Genomic DNA, 25,460 nt, shown 5'->3' on the forward strand with positions numbered 1-25,460 from the left:
ATAGGCAAAAAGTGTAAAGAATCTAACATTATGTTACTCCAAATGGTAAAACATAATATAGTATATCCTGCAAACTTCAATATGGAATCATCTTGAAAAAATTATGCTTAGCAAATGACGAGACACAAAAAGCCACATGCTTGGCCAGGTGCAGTGGCTCACGCCTGTAATCCCAGCACTTTGGGAGGCCAAGGCAGCCAGATCACTTGAGGCCAGGATTTCAAGATCAGCCTGGCCAACATGGTGAAACCCTATCTCTACTAAAAATACAAAAATTGGCTGGGTGGGGTGGTGCATACCTGTAGTCCCAGCTGCTTGGGAGGCTGAGGGACAAGAATCACTTGAACCCACAACGCGGGGGTTGCAGTGAGCCGAGATTGCACCACTGCACACTAACCTGGGCAACAGAGTGAGACTCTGCCTAAAAACAAACAAACAAACAAAAAAACCCAAGAAAGCCATATACTATATGATTCCATTTATCTGAAATATCCAACATAGACAAATCTATAAGGACAGAAAACATATTACTGGTTGCTGGGGGACCTAGGGGCAGAGGAAGAATGGATATGAACGGTATGAAGTTTCCTTCAGGGTAGAACAATTTTGGAACTAGACAGCAGTGATGGTAGTAAACACTGTGAATGCCCTAAAAATGCTGAACTGTACACCTTAAAAGAGTGAATTTTTATGGCATTTGAATTACATCTTAATAACAGGGAACAGTAAGATCAGTTTAGTGGTTAATTTCCAAATAAATGCACAAAATGCACTTAAAATGACACCAAATACTATAACATGGTTTATCTTTCATTATAATGAAGAAACTCTAGATGTTGTTAGACTTCATAATTCAGAACAAGTTATTTTCTGACATTGTACTACAGCTAAAACAAAGTAAAGATCTGAGTGGATTTGTGAAATCTAGAGCCATATATCTAGAAGTTACTTTTCGGGAAAAAATAAAATAAAACCCTATGTTCGAAAAAAATCTAGTTACTGGTACCATCCAGTCATTTGGAGTTTAAATAAGCTAATCAAACTACCACACTGTATCTATTTCCTACCCATGCTAGGCAAATTAACATTACTACCATGAGGTAATGCAACATATGCTGACACAATCTGCAAATTATTACTTGTTTAATCATACAAGTCATTAAACTTCACTGTGCCTCAGTTTACTCATTTGTAAAATAATAATAAAAGCATCTCCCTAGGACTATCAAGGAATTAACTAAATGGAAAGTACTTTGAATAGTACCTGGTACACACTAATATTATATAAATATTAATAATATTTATGACCTAGAAAAGTTCAGAAATTCACCAGTCCACAAAATGTACAAGAATCCCAATTTATTTTAAATAATCATTTTATGACTTTCATGTACTGTTTTCAAATCTATTAACTAGAAAGGTCACTGCTATTGCATGCCTGACAGCATTGGGTAAAATATAGAACATATCCTAATATAGAAATAATAGATCTTGCCAGGCATGGTGGCTCACGCCTGTAATCCCAGCACCTTGGGAGGCTGAGGCAGATGGATCACTTGAGGTCAGGAGTTTGAGACCAGCCTGGCCAACACAGTGAAACCCCATCTCTAGCCTGGGTGACACAGTGAGACTCTGTCTTTAAAAAAAAAGAAAGAAAGAATAGATCTTGAAAGGAACAGATTTCTTTAGAAAGGGTCATATATAGCCCAAGAAGACTCTCTTTCTTTAACTACTGAGAGATATATTTGGTCGTCTTTAGTTTGGATTTCCCACCGTTAAAGAATCTGGCTGATTTCTGGCCAGGTACAATGGCTCGCACCTGTAATTCCAGCACTTTGGGAGGCCAAGACAGGCAGATCTCTTTAGCCTAGGAGTTCAGGATCACCCTGGGCAACACAGAAAAACCCTGTCTCTACAAAAAATTTAAAAATTAGCTGGGTGTGGTGGCACATGCCTGTAGTTACAGCCACTTGGGAGGCCAAAGCTGGAGGATCACCTGAGCCAGGGAATTGAGGGCTGCAGTGAGCCATGATTACACTACTGCACTCCAGCCTGGGCATCGGAGTGAGACCTTGTCTCAAAAAAAAAAAAAAAAATAATAATAATAATAATAATCTGGCTGATTTTTCTGGTTTTGACCCTTGACCAACAAACCAAGGAAGTTTGTGTCTACTTGGTGGTTCTCAAAACAAGAACTACTGGTTAAAACAATGATCATGGTGAAACCCCGTCTCTACCAAAAATACAAAATTAACCGGGCATGGGGGCGCATGCCTGTAATCCCAGCTACTCAGGAGCCTGAGGCAGGAGAATCACTTGAACCTGGGAGGCGGAGGTTGCAGTGAGCCAAGATTGTGCCAATGCACTCCAGCCTGGGCGACAAGAGCAAAACTCGGACTCAAAAAAAAAAAAAAAATCATAAAGTTCCATCTAGGAAAAAAAGTTAACATTGTTGTGTTGCAACATCTTAAATCTTGAATGAAAACTATGTTTCTAAATAAATTATTCATCTCTAAACTTGAACCGGTTCTAGTCGGTTTCTTATGAAAGAGCTTGAGAATGAGGTTGAGAACTAAAGTTCTTAACTGGCCATCCCCAACCTTTTTGGCAACAGGGAACAGTTTCATAGAAGACAATTTTTCCAAGGACCAGGGGGATGGCAGGGAGGATGGTTTCGGGATGAAACTGTTCCACCTCAGATCATCAGGCATTAGATTCTCATAAAGGAGCATGTAACCTAGGTCCCTCGCATGAACAGTTCACAATAGGGTTCGCGCGCTCCTATGAGAATCTAATGCCGTTGCTGATCTGGCAGGAAGCAAAGCTCAGGCAGTAATGCTCACTGACTGCTCACCTCCTGCTGTGTGGACTGGCTCCTAACAGGCCACAGACAGGTAGCAGTCCACACCCTGAGGGGTGGGGACCCCTGGCTTAAAGTATTCACAGTGTCTCAAATTAAATGCATTTATGTTATGTAGAAGTCTTATCATTTAAACAATGGCAAAGATTTAGTTTACTGAACCATCTACCCAGAGTTAGTTCTGCTATAATACAATATTAAGTGTTTCTAAAATCACTGTGTTATGCAAAAATCACTCAATAAAAACATGGTGGGCCAGGCATGGTGGCTCATGACTGTAATCCCAGCACTTTGGGAGGCTGAGGTGGGTGAACTACTTGAGATCAGGAGTTTGAGACCAGTCTGGCCAACATGGCAAAACCCCACCTCTACTAAAAATACAAAAGTTAGCCAGGCATGGTGGCAGGTGCCTTTAATCCCAGCTACTTGGGAGGCTGTGGCAGGAGAATCACTTGAGCTCAGGAGGTAAAGGTTGCTTCAGCCCAGGAGGTAAAGGATACAATGAGCCAAGATCATGCTACTGCACTCCAGCCTGGGTGACAGGAGTGAGACTCCACCTCAAAAAAACAAAAGGAGGGGGGCAATTATACAGAAAATGGGGTTGGAGGACAATGTTCTAAAACTTCATCTGTGACACATTATAAAATACAGTAGCCTAATATAAAGTGGTAGTACAGTTTTACAGGTTACAACAGCTAAGAAATAAATAAATACAGCATTTTATCTTGAAAAAGTAGTGAGGTTTCCTTATAGAAGCTGGTTGGCAGCAGAAGGGTTGCAGCTTGTGGGTTAATACGAAATGTGAGAAAGAAGATATCTGAAATTAGACTGGAAGTTGTAACATCACATATGGAAGTGATAGGGACAGGAGGCAGGAAAATTCTGGGCAGAAGAGGGTGGTCCTGGTGAGGGTCCCACCCTCAATCCTTGAACTGTGGCCCAAAGTGAGAACATGCATCCCTGTTTTCCTGCTTGAATGTTGCCTTTTCCAAAACCACCCATGGCCCGTCCTGCTCCCCATCCTGTGCCCATAAAAACCTCAGGCTCTGCCACCACAGAGAGGAGAGGAAGAGAAGAGGAGAAGCAGTTTGACTTCAGAGTAATGGCTTGACAATGCTGCACCAGGGAAAGATTATCTTCCCACTCTATCCCCTTTCCAGCTCCCCTTTCATTGGCAATATAATCCTCCATATTCACCACCCTTCAATTCGTTCATGTGACCTGATTTTTCCTGGACACTGAATGGGTGCAAACGCTAAAGGCTGTCATACTGACCCTCTGCTCTCACTAGCAGAGAGCAACTGCCTCACAAGAAAAGGCAGAGGACCCACTGAACTGTTTAACACTTAAGCCGTCCATGGATGGCAAAGCTAAAAGAGCACTAACTATAACACTTCTTCTGGGACTTCAGGGGTAGTGGGCATCCCCCTAGATACTGCCATGGGGACAGTACAGAATTCATTCCTGCCAGGGTCCAAAAGCGCTCACCCTGGCTCTTGCACCTGCTCACCTGTGCTCCCCCTCCCACGAGGGGTAGAATGCAGTGGGTTCGAGTGAGTGGAATTTGCCCCTGCCACACCAAAGTGCCTGGCTAGGTCCAGCACCTGTGCACTCCAGTTCCTGCCTGCAAAGGGGCCAGGGAAACTTTTCTGCTTCAGAAGCAAAGCTGTAGCTCATACTGAGGTACCTGGTAGATGTTTGCCAGGAATGCCTGAGAACCTTCTGTGTATTCCTATGCAGCTTGGTTGAGCTGGGTAAGGTTTTCAGCATTTACCTAGCATTTCTGGTGAACAAAACTGTATATAAGCAAAGGTAAAATTTGAGTTAGGGTCAAACTGTTCCCTAATGTACCAATTAGGACCAATTTGCATTTCGAAAGCAAGCATTATAGCAGAATTGACTTTGCAAGAAAATTCTGACCCTGAAGAAAAAGAATCATAGTCATGTTTTATTCAAATAAAGTAGACAGAAATTACGGGTTACCAAAGCAGTGACAGTGAGGATTTCTGGTATATTTATGCTACACTTCGTTTAAAAGGCAGAAATCACTCAGTTGATACTAGCCATTATTTAGAGAACTCAAAAGGTGAAGATACTCATGTTACATTAGGTGAGGAGTAAAATTACACATTGAGGCCAGGCACAGTGGCTCATGCCTCTAATCTCAGTACTTTGGGAGGCAGAGTTGGGAGGATCACTTGAGTTTGAGATCACCCTGGGCAACATAGAGAGATTCTGTCTCTACCAAAAATTAAAAAAAAAAAAAAGAAAAAGAAAATTACACATTGAAAAAAAAAAACCCACAAATTGGTAACACTGATCCATCTTTACTAAATCTTGAGTTTCAGAAATTACATAACCCTCACCTCCAAATAGTTCCCTACAGTTAAACACATTTTTATAAGGAAAACCGGGAATATGTAAGACACATTCCACGAAAGTCAATTCAAGTTTTAAAATACAGCATAATTAGACTGAGCACATAACAGACTCAAGGCTAAAAATGTACATTCTTATTTGTGAGAAAAATTAAGTATTTAATTCATAATTTATAAGAGCATACATTCAAATGAATCTTCTGGGTGTTTGAACCTCCTAATGACTTTCAGAGTTATTTCTAGCTATATAAAATTTATATATATATATTTATATAAATCTTATAGATATTTATATATAAATCTTATAGATATTTATATATAAAACTTATAGATATTTATATATAAATCTTATACAGTATATATTATATATATTTATATATAATATATAATTTATATAAAATATATATAATTTCTTGGAAGTTATTTGGTTTACTGAAAATATTTTCTATTTTCAGTTATATATATATAAAAAATAAGTTATTAGGTTTACTGAAAATATTTTCTTACATGTGATGCCAAATTTCTATCTTTTACTCTATTCTCCCTTTTCTTCATTCCCATTAGTCAGCAGACACCTTCACTAAGAAACATCTATTCTCTAGTCATTGCTATAACTTGCTGACAGATTAATGAAAATAACAAACTGTTGATATAAAGTATAACACATTTCTACTAGATAAGAGATAATTTCATATACAGATTCTAGGTTTTGTGGCTTTTTAAGTTTTTGTCTTTTTTTCTCTTTTTAGATGGCATTAAAATGGAGCTCCAAACCAATAAAAAATGATGGGAAACTTTAAGATATTTATAACAATATTAAACAGGGGCAAATCTTTGAAAGCTGAAAAGTAAACCACATGCTCTAGGCTATGAGAATACAAGTAAGAAAAGTACAAACACATGGACATATCACAAGTAATGGTCTCAAAAGTTTCACAAAAATTCACAGAGAATAAATTTGCCTTCTGATTTAACACAATGACATGTAAATAAAGCTTTTGATAGGATTTATAAAATTATTCCCCTCTTGATTCTAATTAAAGAACACAAATTTGAAAAGTGTCATTCGTACTTTAAGACTATTACTTGATAAGAACTAAATGTATAAGATCAATACAACAAACTTGATAAGTTGCCACAGTTTATCTTTAGTCTCCAAACCAAAAACTAATGCTAAAAATTTTTTGGTTTGAGAATGTGGTATGGGAACAGGCCACATCAAGGCTATTTCATAATTATTTCTGGAAAGAGAAAAAGGATTTTTTCCAGTTTAAACTATTAATGGCAAACGAAAGCAGGTTTCATTATACCTACATCAAAATTACCCAGAAATGAAAATAAAAGCAGTTAACAGTAGTAAATGTATTGAGTGTTTTCTCATGTGCCAGAAACTACTTCAGACTTAACTACTCTTCTGATTATCTTGGCCTTCTCATCTCTTTCTATTGCTAATAAATACTGTAGCCCATGACAAAAATTAAAATTTTTATATAATATTGGTTAATGAATGTTTTATTTTAGATGAAACAGCTGAAATATTTTAAACTCCAACATACAGATGAAAGTAAGTGTTTTACATGTATAAATCTAGGCAGATGGTCTTACATAGTTAATAAAAATGTGGGCTCCAGAGTCAGGCTGCCAGAGTTCAAATCCAGAATTTACTGTTGACTAGGTTTATAACCCCAGAAAAATTATTCTACTTATTTAACCTCACGTCTCTCATCTATAAAAGAGAAATAAATATTATTCCTGCCTTATAAGATAATCATGAGAATTGAAAGAACTCTATGTAAAGCAATTTGGACACAGTAAGTACTCAATAATATTTATCATTCTAGGATTATTAGCGCAAGTATGACCACATGCTTCTGCAACCTTTATGGCCTCAACAGGGAAGAAGGAAGTGAATATCCTAGACACCTCCACTGAAAAACTTCTTGTACCCAATTCTGATTTTCTTCCTATACATATACATACACAAACACATTCTCTGGTTAGAAGTGTTACTCATTGTGTACAGGTGGTGCAACGGACTGATCTGTGTCCTCCCAAAATTCATATGTTGAAGCCATAACCCTTAATGAGATGGAGCCCTTGGGAGATAATTGGGTTTAAATGAGGTCACAAGGATGAGACCCTCATGATGCGATTAGTTCCTTTATAAAGAAGGGACCTCAGAAAGCTTACTTTCCCTCTTCCTCCCTCTTTCTCTCTGCCATGTGAGGACACAGTGAGAAAGTGGCTACCTATAAGGCAGGAAGAGAGTCCTCACCAGAACCTGACAATGGTGGACATGCAGCCTCCAGAAATGTGAGAAAATTAATTTCTGTTAAGTCACCAGTCTATAGTATTTTGTTATGGCACTCTGAGCTAACTAATACAGATGGGTCTACTTATATTTTCAATGTTTAAATACATGAGAAATAGCAATTCAAGGCATTTATTTTGCAAAGTTCATCAGACCCATGCAAATTCACAGTGAGTTTTCAAAGACTTCGGCATGTCAGAATAAGCCATGGTCAGGCAGACATGATACTCCTGCTTACAATATAATTTATTTTTAAGAGCACAGTAGAAAAGTTTCTTACTTTTCAAAAAGCTGCTTTAAATAGTTCTAGTTAAGTCAATGTCAGACAGACATTACATTCATGTCTACAATATGTTTAAGTCATAAGGATTCTTACCTTTTATATCTGCCTGAAACTGTTCTAGGTGGCTCCTGCAAAGTAAAAATAATTATGTATCAGTTTGAGTATGTATGTACACAATTACTTATTATATAAAATAGTTGATAGAGAATACCTAATTTTAAAAAGACCAACTTGAAGCAATTACTGTTTTAAAAAATTCACACTGCTGGTCAAACAAAACAGGAGTCTACATCTGATTTTTCAGTCCAAATCAATCACTTTTTTAAAATTATGTTTTTAATAAAGAAGTATTTTAAAAACTCAGAAAATGGACAAGGCCGGGGGCATCACTCATCATCCACTCAGCTTAAATCCTCTTGAAAGTCAAGGGGCATTAAAAAGTACCACCATTATATATATATATATATATATATATATATATATATATATATATATATATTTTTTTTTTTTTTTTTTTTTTTTTTTTTTTTTTTTTTTTTTTTTTTTGAGAAGGAGTTTCACTCTTGTTGCCCAGGCTACAGTGCAATGGTGTCATCTGGGCTCACCGCAACCTCTGCCTCCCGGGTTCAAGTGATTCTCCTGCCTCAGCCTCCCAAGTAGCTGGGATTACAGGCATGTGCCACCACGCCTGGCTAATTTTGTATTTTTAGTAGAGACGGGGTTTCTCCATGTTGGTCAGATTGGTCTCGAACTCCTGACCTCGGGTGATCCGTCCACCTCAGCCTCCCAAAGTGCTGGGATTACAGGTGTGAGCCACTGCGCCCGGCCTTATAGTCTTTATATATCTCCCTTTGTCTTTTTTATGCCATCAATTTTTCTAAAACTTACAACTTACCGTGTGCATATAGTAATTAGTTCCTATTTTTAAAGACTACATATACAGCTAAAAATGAAAAGTGAAAAAGTACATTTTAATATTGTGCTGATTCTAAGCTACTAAAAAAAAAGGTTGCTAAAAGTTAACATTAACCATTGGGGTAGAAAAATTGTTACCTTGCAAATAACTAGGCAGTCATGTCTCTGTTCAATCTTTTGACAGTCTAGGTTCTCCAAATACTTCTGCAGTTTCACTTTAATAAAACAGGTCAAAATCAAATGATGTCTTTAAAAATTGATAACTTTTTTCCTAATTAATCATTAAGTTGCCAAGAGAGATCCTACAATTAAAGAAGTTCTCATCTGGTTAAGGTAAAAGAATAAGCTACCTTTATAAGATAACCAGTTCCAGAGTAAAAGAGTAAATACTGACTGCATGATGCGATAAAAGACTAGCAATGTGGGGAACCAGTACAGCAAACCATATGATTAAGAGGAGGGATCGGATCAAGTTTCCAACCAGACAGGCTACTCCGTAGCTAGGAGACTAGGAGACTATGGGTTTAACCTCTATCAGTGTCTACTGATCTCTAAAATGGAATAACAGTGCCTATTTTATTGGGTTGTTGTAGAGATAAAATGACATAAGTGAGTAAAATTAGCACAGTCCCTTCCAAACAGGCTTTCAATTTCAATTTGATAGCTAACACAAACAGAAAACTAACTGGGATATGGAAAAATCTTAATTGAATTTTCTGCATGGAATTTGAGTAAGTCTGTCTTAATTATTCCAAGTCAATAAATTCTCATTACAGAAGCCTATATCACTTAGTTTTATTTGTATCTCAATTTTTCATGTATATATCTTATATTCTAAGTAAAATGTAAGTGTCTGACAAATAAGAACCCTCCACCAGCAATTCCTTTCTTTCTCCCCCAAAACCCCAGCTCACCTAGTATGCAATAAATATATATTGACAACTTAGGGAAATAACTTCCTTAGTAATCTGCAGTTACAAAAAAGTACCATTTGGGAAGTAACCAGTTGCAGGAAATAACCAGGTGACAGGATACTTGAGCGACTGTGTATGTGGGCTTGACCCCATAAACACGCTTAGTTCTGGGGAAGTCATGCCTTGACAGGTGATACAAAGACATTTTAACCATCCCTGAGCATCAGCTGTTCTTACAGCAAGGACAACAACAAAACCTGGCAAGCAAACTTTAAAGAGTTTCTTATCTGCTTGTCATTAAGCAGATATCCACGAATCTACACTTTTGTACCAAACACGTAAAACAGATCCCCTATTTATTTAGATGGTTATTTAATGTCGAAAGAAATATTAAGCTTATGTATACTCACTCAAAATATACTTTATTAAATATGAGTGATAATGATTCATACAGAAGTTTTTCCAGCTGGGTGCAGTGGCTCATACCTGTAATCCTAGCACTTTGGGAGGCTGAGGGGAGTGGATCACTTGAGCCCTGGAAGTCAAAACCAGCCTAGGCAACATGGTGAAACTCTTATCTCTACATAAAATACAAAATTAGCTGGGTGAAGTGGCGTGTGCCTGTAGTCCCAGCTACTCGGGAGGCTGAAGTGGGTGGACTGCTTGAACTCAAGAGGCAGAGGTTGCAGTGAGCTGAGATCACACTACTATACTCCAGCCTGTGCAACAGAGCAAGACCCTGTCTCAAAAAAAAAAAAAAAAAAAAGTTTTTCCCCTGGTAGTTTCACAAACGGTATTTGCATTAACATTTTACAAAGAGCTTCTTTTATTAAATTCCCTAATATTACCCTATATGAACTAAACTAAGGCGTATGATGTCTGACTACACATGCATGAGAAAAAATGCCAGAATCTCCAAAATAAAGTTCTAAAACATCACACATCATTTCTCTCACATCTGTCTCATTTTGGTTATATTTGAAATATCTCAGAACATGCCACATCAGCTTGATTGCCCAGATTGCCTTTTACTGAAATGAAGTCAGCAAAATTGCTAAATGAGAGCAACCCTTACTAGATTTACTAATTTGTGGGTTACTGGTATATCAACTGAAATTGTATGAATAACTTGGCAACAAACACTATTTCTGAGGCTTGAAATAGACTTTTTCTGTAATATGGTAAAACTTAGAGTAATAGAGATATAGAGTAGAATTTTAACAAAAACAGAAATGTAAAATGGAGGGCATTTTCAGCAACTCTAAATTGCAGTGGCATTACAATAATTTCACACTTTGACCCAATTATAAATGACTTAAAAGTCAGTATCAGACAAGTTTTGAGTTAAGTATGCTAACCAGAAGTCATGTAAAAATATCAGATTTCTACATTTCTCTACAGTTGTTTGGGTTTTTTTTTTAAACACTCAGTCACTTAAAACATAACTCAGTAAGTTTTACACAGTATTTTCCACACTGCTAGCTTGATACAGTTGATAAAATTAGAACTCCCACATACTACGTTGGTACGAAAAGTAATTGCGGGTTTGCCATTACAGTCATTCCATGCTCATGTCTGAGACATACAAATAATCAGAATTTAAGCTATACTTATTTCTTGTATATAGCTAATATTTCAATAGTTAAGATTTTGAAGCACACAGACGACACGAGTTTATTCCTTATTGGTGGATTTGAATATGGTCTTTTATTAGAGATTATACATTTTGAAGCTGAATGTTATTTTATAGTGATTCTTGTTTTTTGGCAGGGCACGGTGGCTCACACCTGTAATCCCAGCACTTTGGGAGGCCAACGCAGGAAGATCACCTAAGGTCGGGAGACCAGCCTGGCCAACGTGGTGAAACCCTGTCTCTACTAAAAATACAACAATTAGCTGGGCCTGGAGGCAAGTGCCTGTAATCCCAGCTACTTGGGAGGCTGAGACAGGAGAATTGCTTTAACAGAGAAGGTGGAGGTTGCAGTGAGCTGAGATCATGCCACTGCACTCCAGCCTGGGTGGCAGAGCAAGACTCCGTCTCAAAAAACAACAACAAAAAAAACTTTTAACAGTAAAATGTTCCCCACACTGGATAGATTATACCAGTATGATTAGAGACTGGGAGGGGTGGGAGTCTTCTTATGCATGTTAAAAATGGGCAATTAAAGGTGGAGTTTAAAGTGATTTCTATATCCTGGCCAAAAAGAGAAAACTGGGCATATCTTAAATTAGAAATGTTAGGTTAAAAAAAAATCAACCTATATGGTGCAGTGAAAGGTCCCTTATAATTTTTTTAGCTTTATTTTTAATTGACAAATAATGATTAGACATATGTATAAGGCACAAAGTGATATTTTTATTTCAATACATGTATATATTATGGAAGGATCAAATTAGAGTAATTAGCATATATGTCTGATATATTTTGGATGTCCCCTCCAAATCTCATGTTGAAATGTAATCTCCAGTGTTGAAGGCGGGGCCTGTTGGGAGGTGACTGGATCATGGGAGTGGATTTCTCATGAATGGTTTAGCACCAATGAGATCTGGTTAAGAGTATGGGACCTGCCCCCGCTCTCTCTCTCGCTCCTGCTCCTATCATGTGATGTGCCTGCTTCCGCTTTGCTTTCCTCCATGAGTAGCTCCCTGAGGGCCTCATAAGAAGCTGAGCACATGTTGATGCCATGCTTGTGTAGCCTGTAGAAGTGTGAGACAATTTAACCTATTTTTCTTATAAATTATCCAATCTCAGGTGTCTCTTTATAGCAATGCAAAGAACAACCTATACAGAATTACCTCAAATACTCATCACTTCTTTTTTTTTTTGTTTCTTTTTTTGAGACACAGTCTCGCTGTCACCCAGGCTGGAATGCAGTGGTGTGATCTCAGCTGACTGCAACATCCGCCTCCAAGGTTCAAGTAATTTTTGTGCCTCAGCCTCCTGAGTAGCTGGGATTACAGGTGAACACCACCATGCTCAGCTAATTGTTGTATTTTTAGAAGAGATGGGGTTTTGTCATGTTGGCCAGGCTAGTCTTGAACTTCTGGCATCAAGTGGTCCACCCACTTCGGCCTCCCAGAGTGCTGGGATTACAGGCATGAGCCACTGCACCAGGCCCTTATCACTTCTTTCTGGTAAGAACATTTAAAATACTCTTAGCTATTTTGAAATATACATTATTATGAACTATAATCACCTTACTGTGCAATAAAACAGAAATTATTCCTCCTATCTAACTGTAACTTTGCACCCATTGGCCAATGTTTCTCCTTTCTCCATCTACCTTAGCCTCTGGTAATCACCATTCTACTCTCTACTTCTATGAGTTTGACTTTTTTGGATTCCACATATAAGTGAGATCACTGCGACAAAATGGATGACGGCAGAGGACATTATGTTCACTGAAATAAGTCCCTGATAATTTTAACGAGGAAAATGCTTGACATTCTTACATGGTAGAACAAAATTCCACACAAATATAAACGTCACCTTAGATGTCTTAACTATATTTCTGTAGCCACAACAATTTCCAGGCAAAGAAACAACTATATAATTATTTGGCACTTTAATAATTACTACTCCATACTAAATAGGGAAAAAAAAAATGAAGAAATACAGTAGTCCTTTTTCCCTTATCCAAGCTTTCACTTTCTACAGTTTCAGTTACCCATGGTCAACCCATGGGTATTAATAAAGCTAGATTAATAATTTTTAATATTTGTTATTTAATAATTTTAATTGATAAAATTTTAGTATTTTAATTAATAAATTAAAATATTAAATAGAAAACTTGAGACATAATTTATAAACTTTAAGTTGTGAGTTGTCCTGACTAGCATGATGAAACTTGGTGCTGTCCTGCTCCATCTCGCCCAGGGCCTGAATCATCCCTTTGTAAAATGTAACCACAGTGTCTATGCTCCCTACCTATTAGTCACTCGGGAGCCACCTTGGTTATCAGACTGTTGTGGTATCCCAGTGATTGTGTTCAATTAACTTTTCTTTTACTTGATAATTGCCCCAAAGTACAAGAGTAGTGATGCTGGCAATTCTGATATGCCAAAGAGAAGCTGTAAAGTGCTTGCTTTAAGTAAAAAGGTGAAAATTCTCAGCTTAATAACGAAAGAAAGAAAAATCATATCCTGAAGTTGCTAAGCTTTATGATAAGAACATATCTTCTATCCATGAAATTGTAAGGAAGGAAAAACAAATATGTGCATAGTATATATAGCGTTCAGTACTATCTATGATTTCAGGCATCCATTGGAGGTCTTGGAACATAACTCCCTTTGATATGGGGGTACTGCTATACTAGTATCATTGAAACGGCTTGTAAAAAGTACAACTGTTAAGACTGGTACTGGTCTTAAAAGTTTCAAAGACTACGTAATTAGATCTCCCCCAAATCCTTAAGTCTGTTATACAACTGATTTCAAATATACTCTTTCTGAAACAATCTTCCTTGCAATGGGATGGTTTCTATTACTAAAGGGAAGGGGAAAGATCTATGTAGAGCTGAGAAAATGTTGGCAAAGCACAAACTGTTTTGTGTAAGTTTAAATAAAACGCTCTGCTTTATTCAAGCTTATAAAGATCAATAAGGAAATCCCCATGAAAACAGTCTTTACAGGTACAGTGGCAGATCAGAACTTCTAACGTATAAACAAGTATAACAGCATAGGTGAAATAAGATCAGACAAATACAAGTCAGATGAATACAGCAAAGTAATACTGATGTTATTCAAATAATCTAGCAACAAAGCCACAGCCCTCAGTAAAATTATGGCATAACATGCTAACTGACCCTCAGGACTAACTTAAAATATCTATGTTGCCATGTATAATTTAGTATGATATATTGTTGAAGATGACTTCAGAATAAAATTTCTCTAATATATAACTGATAAAATAAGAAAATGAAAAATAAGAGCTTTATCAAATTAACAAATATTTTAAAAGGAAAAACTCATCCTTCCCCTTCCTTTCCTGAATAATTAAGTCCTAAAGCCATTAGGCAGGGCAGAGCAACGTGAGAAAACACAGTGGCTCAGATCAGGGTATCAGAACCTGTCATAAAGAAGAGCTGCTTGGCATAGAGAATTCAAGTCCAAGCAAACCAAGGAGACTGCTCACATAGCACAGCTCACTCAGCCTGACCTAAGAAATCAGAGCCTGAGCAGAATGAAGAAGATTTCTACAAAGCAGGGAAGGTAAGGCCTCATTTGTGAGGCAAGGTCAGAAAGGGAGTCCCATAAAGGGGCAGCCAGAGTCCCAAGTAGAATGTGAAGTTTACCTTTACAGGAGGGTGGCTCAGAAAAGGGTGATAGAGCTCTAGCAGGGTAAAAAATGTCTACCCTCCAAGAGGCAGCCTGGCATGGGGTATTCTGTGCCAGAGCGCAGGCAGGATGAAGTGAATGTTCACATGGAGTGGCAGTCTGGCCTGGAGTTGTCAAAACCTAATCAAGTTGAGGAAGAGTCCCCATGGAGGAGCAATCCGACATGAGTTCTCCGAGTCTCAGCAGGAGCAAACAGAGGCCCTACAGAACAGCCTATCAAAGGATGCACAAGCCGGAAAAGGGTGAAGAGAGTGTTCATGCTTACGGTGAGCCCAACATGTGATGTCAGAACCCACTTATGGTAAGGAAGGCATAAGTAGGAGGAAAGGAGGCAATGGGAGATATATTACTACATACAACTCAAGAGGCATAATTGAAAAATTGCCATTAAAATAGATAGTGACTTCCTGGTATTTTTAAATACTCACCTGTAGCAGATAGGAACTGCCTGGATCTAGTAAGTTTACAGCTTCATTCTGAATAGTGTTCTGTTGTGTAATTGCATCTTCTCGTTTCCGCTCTTTCTGCCCTGCTTCATCATCTTCGTACTCATCTAAGCACTGAAAGAAAAAAAGAGTTTCCATTTTATTTCTACTATTAATAGACTGTTTCGATAATATGTGAAAATATATTGATAGTATTAAAGAAATATTTGTGCATTCAGAAATTAGTTTGCATAATAAAAGTATTTTTCTTTCAGCAATATGTACATTTAATTCCTATAAATTATCTGCTTAAAACTTGTACTTCCATATCCACACCACTGCCAACAAATCTTTTCCCTAAACTCCAAACATCAGTGACAGGGTTTTCTTAAAGGAAAGGTTTATTCATTCTTTATCATTCATTCAATAAGTAAACTACGTCTACCTTAAACAAGGCATTCTGCAGAAGGTAACAAAGGATGCATTAAAGAAATGGAATTTATAATCTAGTAGGAAAGATAATACATATATATAGATAGATAGATAACTTAGTGATAAAGGCCCAGTTTCTAGCTTTATATTCTATGAGCATATAAAGGAAGAGTATTTTTACCTGGAGAGTTAGAAAAGACTATAAAAAATCTTGTAATTTAAAGAATGGCTACAATTTGGAATTGCAGATATATAAAAAAAGAGAATTACACATGTAACAGCATATTGGAAAAGCTTACAAGAGAAGGCTGCTAAAAAACAGAAGCAACACTAGAAATTATCTAACTCTACACTTTCTACATAAGAAAAACAAAATAGAAACAAATCTCTATCCATTATACACATCATGGGCTGGGTTATCCGTTCCTTGCAACTGAATACATTCCTAACCAATACACTGCCCTAAAGGTTTCTGCATGAGAACTCACACCCCCTCCAGACAAAAACAAATAAACAAACAAAAACAAAAACAAAAAAAACCACACACCTCTTTGTAGAGACACTAAGGAACTGATCACAGCAAAGTATAACAGTATGGCAGTGAAGACAATAGGAATTGGACAAAAAAAAAAAGTTGTGCAGAGAGAAGAAAACACTGAAGCCATTGTGCAAACCAAGAAGGTGCACTGGAATATTTGGAGATAGGAGGAACATACTGAAAGGGGTACCAAGCTTGATAAAGACAAGGTCTACAATGGAGGACATGGAAGAAAGCATCTGTCTGAGATGGAGTGTTTTTTATTATTTTTTATTATTATTATACTTTAAGTTGTAGGGTACATGTGCACAATGTGCAGGTTTGTTACACATGTATACATGTGCCATGTTGGTGTGCTGCACCCGTTAACTCGTCATTTACATTAGGTGTATCTCCTAACGCTATCCCTCCCCTCTCCCCCAACCCCACGACAGGTCCCAGAGTGTGATGTTCCTCACCCTGTGTCCAAGTGTTCTCATTGTTCAATTCCCACCTACGAGTGAGAATATGCAGTGATTGGTTTTCTGTCCTTGTGATAGTTTGCTCAGAATGATGGTTTCTAGCTGAGATGGAGTCTTACAACATTAGGATGATACAGAGAAGTCTGAGGACAGAAATGGAAAGGGCAAATGAAAGGAGCATGCAGGTTGAGATTTGGTGTCACCTGGCCCTTGTCATATCAACCTGCCAAGAGTGGGGCTTGGGGAAACAGCACAAGAAAATTATGATACTGTAGCTACTGTTATTGCTGAGTCTAAACTGTTCTTGACTCTAACTAACCCAGGAGACTAGTATCTTTTGCCAGCATACACAAGCTAACGTGTTAGCCAGCAAGTGGGGTATGATCTCAAAGCCATTACAGTTTTTGACAAAAGTGAGGACTCGAAAGGCATAGAGGGAACATAAATAATAGATAACCCAAGAAGTTTAGACTTCTCACTCCATAGCTTGGAATGATGTTACAATGCTATACAGTTCCTTGGGATAAGGAATGATCAAAATTCTTTTTGGGAAGAACCTGGAAATAGCAATGCAGAGAACAGGAACAAGACCAAAAGTGAAAAGACTAGTTAAGTGACTAGTTAAATGACATAGGCAATTGTATCCTATGAAAAATGATATATCATAGGTGGAAACAGAGTCAGTGAAAGAAATCTGGTATGGGACACCAAAGTGTTAAGAAATTAGTCCTTATTAGAAAAAAAAAATCTCTCTCAGGACTTTCAAAAACTTTCTCAAATCACTAGACAATATCTTGTTTAATGACAACATACCAGCAAAATTTAAAGTAAAATCAGACTCAAGACATTGATGTCCACTATTAACATAATTGTTAACATCATTCTGAAAGTGCTAGTTGATAGAACTAGGTAAGAAGAATAGGCGATTTTAACATTAGAAAGGAGGCAAAATTACCATCAGAGGAAATGATTTTGTAAAAAACAAAAACATTTTAGAATTATGAGTTAAGATTTTTTTCAGTAAATAAGCAAAAAATTTCCCAAAGTAACATCAATAGCCAGTTACAAAATTTTTAGTAACAACCATTAAAAAACTAAAAAACAGTACGTGCATGAAAAAAGCTATAAGACTTTACTGAAGAATACAAATTAAAACCTGCTCTTAAGAAAAATCTAGTATTGTGAAGGTGTCAACAGTCTCTTAACACATAAATTAAAATTCCAATCAAAATCATGAAGAAATTTATTTGGAAAGTAGTGGTGCATCATCTGGAAGAAAAAATACATAAGATATCAAAAAAATTACTTTTTTAAAAAAGAGGTATGACCAAACACTCTAGTTAATGTTAAAATGTATAAAACTACAATAACAAAAATACCTGATAGAGGTCCTAGAACAGAAAGAATAAAATAGCATAAAAGGCATTTTAAATCAAGGAGTTGCTTTAAAAGGGGGAGGAGAGGTCAATCATTTAATGAACAGTAGGAGAAGCAAAAGTATGAGATCTGGAAAAGAATAAAGAATGGTCTCATCTCTAGTCTTCTACTGTGTGAAAGCAATCATCACTTATTCTCCAGCATATGGACTCAAAAATCCCTCACCTAGGCTCCAACATCATTAGCTTAAAGTTGGAATTCTTAAATTATCATAGATTAATATTAACAGAAAGCAAAAGTTGAGGCAGGTAGCCACGCACTCCCAGAGCACTGGGATGCTATTTTATTTGTCTTTGTTTTCATTTTCTGAGACCCAGCCCCACAACACTAACTTTCCCTCCTCCTGCCCCCTCAACTAGACTCCCTTACCAGTATATTAAAAGAAAAAAGAAAGGAAGAAACAAAACACTCGGTAAATGTTTCATAAAACAATGAATGAGTTACCAAGATGAGACAAATCATCTTGGAGATGAACTGGAAGGTGAACTGTGATACCTGAAGTTAAAATTCTGAATGCTCTTTCCCATGGCAACACTGCTATCCACTGAACTGGGAACCTATTCATCACACATAGTATCCCTGTGGATACAGTATGTATCTAACGTTCCAGGCAGCTTTTAGTATAGGATTACTTGATGAATCACAACTTCTCTCCAAAATTCTGCTAGCAACCAGTGCAGTTCTTTTGATAACAAGCATCCTAGAAATTCTTAAGCAATCTTTTCTAACTGGGATAAATACATCTGGAGGAAGAAGTTGGCGGAAATCATGAGAAATAAGAGAATTCCTGTATCTGCCATACTTAAGAGAAGTGGATTCTCCTCATTCCTTTCTTCAGCTGCATAATAATTTTATTAAATAGATGTACCTACCATATTTTAATCAGAGCTTTATTGATGAACATTTGGGTTTTTTACACGCTCTAAGAAAAATGTGTTAGAAAGGCTTATATATATAGTTTCTGTATATATGCAATGGATTTCCTGGATAGATTCTTAGTATTAGGATTGCTGGCTCACAAGGTAAATGAATATGTCAATTTGGCAGGTATTTCCAAATTCCACTCAATAGGGATTGTATCATTTTACATTTCCTTCAGTATGACATTACCTGTTCTCCCAATAGTTTTCATACTTTTGCAGTTTTTGCCAATATAATAATTGAAAAAAAGTATCTCAGTGTAATTTTAGCAGCAGTTCCTATGGTTAAGAGTCATTTGCATTTCTTTTGAGGTCTACCTCTAGTTTTCCATTTCTCTATAGGTTAATCTTTTATTTTTCAGTTGTTTATATATTAGGAATATATAAATTAAAGTGACCTGTGAGACAGTATCAAGCAGTCTAACACATGCATAATTGGGGTCTCAGAAGGCAAGGAGAGAGAAATGAGGGGGAAAAAAGCAACTGAAGAAATAATAGCTGAATTTTATCCAAATTTGATGAAAATTATAAACACACAGATGCAAGCTCAACAAGTCCAAAAAGAATAAGCAAAAAGAAATCATATACACATTATAATCAAAGTAATAAAGAGAAAATTTTAAAAGTAACAGAGGAAGAATTAAAAAATTAAAAATTAAAATTTAAAAAGTAACAGAGGGGCCGGGCGTGGTGGCTCACGCCTGTAATCCCAGCACTTTGGGAGGCCAAGGCGGGCAGATCACAAGATCAGGAGATCTACAAAACATGGCTAACACGGTGAAACCCTGCCTCTACTAAAAATACAAAAAATTAGCTGGCCGTGGTGGTGGGCACCTGTAGTCCCAGCTACTCGGGAGGCTAAGGCAGGAGAATGTCGCGAACGCGGGAGGCAGAGCTTGCAGTGAGCCGAGATCACGCCACTGCACTCCAGCCTGGGCGACAGAGTGAGACTCTGTCTCAAAAAAAACAAAACAAAAAAGTAACAGACGGGTGGAAGCAGATTATACACAAAAGTATATAAGAAATATAAAGTATGGGCCGGGCACAGTGGTTCAGCACATTGGGAGTCCGAGGCAGGCGGATCATGAGGTCAGGAGATCGAGACCATCCTGGCTAACACAGTGAAACCCCATCTCTACTAAAAATACAAAAAACTAGCCAGGCGTGGTGGCACGCGCCTGTAGTCCCAGCTACTCGGGAGGCTGAGGCAGGAGAATGGAGTGAACCCGGGAGGCGGAGCTTGCAGTGAGCCAAGATCGTGCCACTGCACTCCAGCCTGGGCTACAGAGTGAGACTCCATCTTAAAAAAAAAAAAAAAAAAAAAAGAATACATATATATATAAAATGAAGAATTAAAGCAGACTTATCAACAGAAACTATACAAGCCAGAAAACAATGAAATGACTTTTTTTTTTTTGAGATGGGGTCTTGCTGTGTCGCCCAGGCTGGAGTGCAGTGGCGTGATCTCGGCTCACTGCAAGCTCCGCCTCCCAGGTTCACACCATACTCCTGCCTCAGCCTCCTGAGTAGCTGGGACTACAGGCGCCCACCACCACGCCCGGATCATTTTTTGTATTTTTAGTAGATATGAGGGTTCACCATGTTAGCCAGGATGGTCTCGATCTCCAGACCTCGTGATCCACCCCCCACGGCCTCCCAAAGTGCTGGGATTACAGGTGTGAGCCACACGCCCCGCCGAAATGACAACTTTTTTTTTCCTTTTTTTTTTTAATTTTATTATTATTATACTTTAAGTTTTAGGGTACATGTGCACAAGGTGCAGGTTTGTTACATATATATACATGTGCCATGTTGGTGTGCTGCACCCATTAACTCGTCATTTAACATTAGGTATATCTCCTAATGCTATCCCTCCCCCTTCCCCCACCCCACAACAGTCCCTGGTGTGTTATGTTCCCTTTCCTGTGTCCATGTGTTCTCATTGTTCAATTCCCACCTATGAGTGGGAACATGCGGTGTTTGGTTTTCTGTCCTTGCGATAATTTGCTGAGAATGATGGTTTCCAGTTTCATCCATGTCCCTACAAAGGACATGAACTCATCATTTTTTACGGCTGCATAGTATTCCATGGTGTGTATATGCCACATTTTCTTAATCCAGTCTATCGTTGTTGGATATTTAGGTTGGTTCCAAGTCTTTGCTATTGTGAATAGTGCCGCAATAAACATACGTGTGCATGTGGCTTTATAGCAGCATGATTTATAATCCTTTGGGTATATACCCAGTAACGGCATGGCTGGGTCAAATGGTATTTCTAGTTCTAGATCCCTGAGGAATCGCCACACTGACTTCCACAATGGTTGAACTAGTTTACAGTCCCACCAACAGTGTAAAAGTGTTCCTATTTCTCCACATCCTCTCCAGCACCTGTTGTTTCCTGACTTTTTAATGATCGCCATTCTAACTGGCATGAGATGGTATCTCATTGTGGTTTTGATTTGCATTTCTCTGATGGCCAGTGATGATGAGCATTTTTTCATGTGTTTTTTGGCTGCATAAATGTCCTCTTTTGAGAAGTGTCTGTTCATATCCTTCGCCCACTTTTTGATGGGGTTGTTTGTTTTTTTCTTGTAAATTTGTTTGAGTTCATTGTAGGTTCTGGATATTAGCCCTTTGTCACATGAGTAGGTTGCAAAAATTTTCTCCCATTCTGTAGGTTGCCTGTTCACTCTGATGGTAGTTTCTTTTGCTGTGCAGAAGCTCTTTAGTTTAATTAGATCCCATTTGTCAATTTTGGCTTTTGTTGCCATTGCTTTTGGTGTTTTAGACATGAAGTCCTTGCCCATGCCTATGTCCTGAACGGTATTGCCTAGGTTTTTGAGACAAAGAAGGCCAATACATAATGGTAAAGGGATCAATTCAAGAAGAAGAGCTAACTATCCTAAATATATATGCACCCAATACAGGAGCACCCAGATTCATAAAGCAAGTCCTGAGTGACCTACAAAGAGACTTAGACTCCCACACAATAATAATGGGAGACTTTAACACCCCACTGTCAACATTAGACAGATCAACGAGACAGAAGTTAACAAGGATACCCAGGAATTGAACTCAGCTCTGCACCAAGCGGACCTAATAGACATCTACAGAACTCTCCACCCCAAATCAACAGAATATACATTCTTTTCAGTACCACACCACACCTACTCCAAAATTGACCACATAGTTAGAAGTAAAGCACTCCTCAGCAAATGTAAAAGAACAGAAATTGTAACAAACTGTCTCTCAGATCACAGTGCAATCAAACTAGAACTCAGGATTAAGAAACTCTCTCAAAACCACTCAACTACATGGAAACTGAACAACCTGCTCCTGAATGACTACTGGGTACATAATGAAATGAAGGCAGAAATAAAGATGTTCTTTGAAACCAACGAGAACAAAGACACAACATACATTCAGAATCTCTGGGACACATTCAAAGCAGTGTGTAGAGGTAAATTTATAGCACTAAATGCCCACAAGAGAAAGCAGGAAAGATCTAAAATTGACACCCTAACATCACAATTAAAAGATCTAGAAAAGCAAGAGCAAACACATTCAAAAGCTAGCAGAAGGCAAGAAATAACTAAGATCAGAGCAGAACTGAAGGAAATAGAGACACAAAAAACCCTTCGAAATGACAACTTTTAAGCACTAAAAAGAAAAATCTGTCAAATAAAGGTTCTAAATGTAGTAAAATGTTTCAAAAAGAAAAGAAAAATAAAGACTTCTACAAATAACAAAAACTGAGCAGCAGACCTTCAGTATAAAAAAAGGTTAAATGAAGTTTCTCTGTAAAGAAAAGGATACCGCAAGAAAATGTGGAACCACTCAAAGGAATGAAGAACATCCAAAATGGTCAATACATGAATAAATATAAGAAACTGTTATTTCTTATTTTGGTATCTCCTTAACATGTAAGTGATTAAAGAAAAAATGATAATGACATTTTGTGATATTTATAACACATGGAAAGGTAAAATGTATGGCAATGGCACAAAGGCAGGAAATAAAAGTATACCAGTGTAAGATTCTTACACTATACATGGCATGGTATAATATTACATAAAAGCAGACTGTGATAAGTTAAAGATGTATAATACATATATATAGATATTTAACCCTAAAGCAACTGCTTTAAAAGCCAATCAAAGAGCTTTTTAGGCAACGCTAAAGATAAAATTGAATGATTAAACAATACTCAACACAAATGCAGGCAGAAAAAAAAGGAGAGAACAGATAGGATAAATAGAAAACAAAGATCAAGCAGGAAGATTTAAACCAAACCACTTCAATTATTAAATGCACATGATCTAACCATTTCAACTGAAAGGCAGAAGTTATAATAATAAAAGCAAGACCCAAATATATGCTGTCAACAAGAAACACATTTAAATAGAATGACACAAATAGGTTCCAAGTGAAAGGACGAAAAAAGATGCATCATAAAACACATATCTAATGTAAGCTGAAACAGTCTTATCGAAGTAGATTACACAATAAAGAATATTATCATGAATAAATAGGGATATTACATAATGATAAAGGGGTCAATTCATCCAGAAGACACAGTTTTTAAAAATGTAGTCACCAAATAAAGGAGCTTCAGATCAAATGAAACAAAAAGAACTGAAAATAAAAATGGGCAAATCCACAAATTCAGTTGGAGATTTCAACACTTCTCTATCAGTACTTAATACAACATGAAGGTGGGAAATGTGTAGAGATATAAAAAAAAAAACTTCAATTCTGTCAATTTGACCCAACATTTATAGAACACTCCCCCCACAAAAATAAACTATATGTTTGTTTTGTTTTGTTTTGTTTTTCGAAAACTCACTGTATGTTCAATAAGACAGAACATATTGTGGAACATAAAACAGGATTTGTGCAAACATAAGATGATGAAATCATACCAAGAATGTTCTTTGACCACTACTCAATTAAACTTAAAATCAGTAACAGAAAGCTACCTGAAAAATCTGCTAAATATATGGAAATTAATTCACAAATAATCACGTGAAAAAAGAAATCACAAGTAGAAAATATTTTCAAATGAATTTTAAAAGCACAACATAAAATTTGAAATCCACCTAAAAGCAGAGCTTAGAAGAAAATTTATAACAATGAATATTTATTTTAGAAAAAAAGAAGTCTCAAATCAATGATCAAGGCTTTCATCTTAAAAAGCTATAAAAAGGGCAAATTAAACCCAAAATAAATGGAAGAAAATGAAAATAAGAGCAAAATACAATAAAACAAAATAGAAAAAATAATGAAACCAAAAGTGGGTTCTTAGAAGTAATAGATAAAATTAGTAAACCTCTTGGCAGTCTGAACAAAAAAGACAGAAAATCACTATTATAAGTAAAAATAAATGATATTCTATGATATTAAAAGATTAAGAAAAATTATGAAAAACTTTGTGCCACTAATATATATATATATATTTTTTTTGAGACAGTCTCAGTCACCCAGGCTGGAGTGCAGTGGTGTAATCTCGGCTCACTGCAACCTCTGCCTCCCGGGTTCAAGCAATTCTCATGCCTCAGCCTCCCAAATAGCTGGAACTACAGGTGAGCACCACTGCACTTGGCTAATTTTTGTATTTTTAGTATAAGAGACGGGGTTTCGTCATGTTGCCCAGGCTGGTCTTGAACTCCTGGCCTCAAGCAATCTATCTGCCTTGGCCTCCCAAAGGGCTGGGATTACAGGTGTGGGCCACCATGTGTGGCTTATGCCAGTAAATTTGGTAACTTTGATAAAATTGACAAATTCCGTGAAAGACTGAAGCTACCAAAGTTCAATCAAGCAGGAGTATATAACCTGAACAGCTCTCTATCTAGTAAAGAAAGTAAAGAAAATATCAAACCAAGATGGTTTGGTAAACTATCAAACTTTTAAAGAAATACCATCTGTTCACAAATTCTTCTAGATGGAAGAAATACTTCTCAACTTATTTTGAGGCCAACAATGCTCTGGTACCAAAACCAAAAAAAAAAAAAAAATTCTAAAATAATAAGAACTACAGACCAATGTAATCTGGTAAAGACAGACAAAAAGGCCTTTGCAAAATTTTAGCATAAAAAATGCAAAATATATAAAAAAGGACAATGACCAAAATGGGGTCTATCCCAGTAAAACACTTTGTTTAACCTTCAAATCAGTGATTCATCATCTTTACAAAGGAGAAAAATATATAATCACCAATACATTAGTAAAAAGCATGACACAAACATAAAC

The 25,460-nt window shown here is 37.1% G+C and overlaps 1 protein-coding gene across 8 annotated transcripts in view; it reads right to left on the reverse strand.

Moving 5' to 3' along the window:
• PAWR (pro-apoptotic WT1 regulator) overlaps positions 1 to 25,460 on the reverse strand; it is a 106,086-nt gene that overhangs the window by 20,771 nt on the left and 59,855 nt on the right. For 6 of the 8 annotated variants that reach the window (NM_002583.4, NM_001354732.2, XM_047428916.1 and 3 more), the window contains 2 exons: positions 15,427 to 15,558; positions 7,926 to 7,960 (listed from right to left, as the gene is read on the reverse strand). In NM_002583.4, the coding sequence (NP_002574.2) occupies positions 7,926 to 7,960; positions 15,427 to 15,558 (167 nt within the window). Of the gene's footprint in view, positions 1 to 7,925; positions 7,961 to 8,645; positions 8,963 to 15,426; positions 15,559 to 25,460 lie in introns of those variants that run through there. The other 2 variants (XM_017019378.2, XM_047428919.1) reach the window with 1 other exon arrangement.

Source organism: Homo sapiens, chromosome 12 (assembly GCF_000001405.40).
Source record: "Homo sapiens chromosome 12, GRCh38.p14 Primary Assembly".
NCBI lineage: Eukaryota > Metazoa > Chordata > Mammalia > Primates > Hominidae > Homo > Homo sapiens.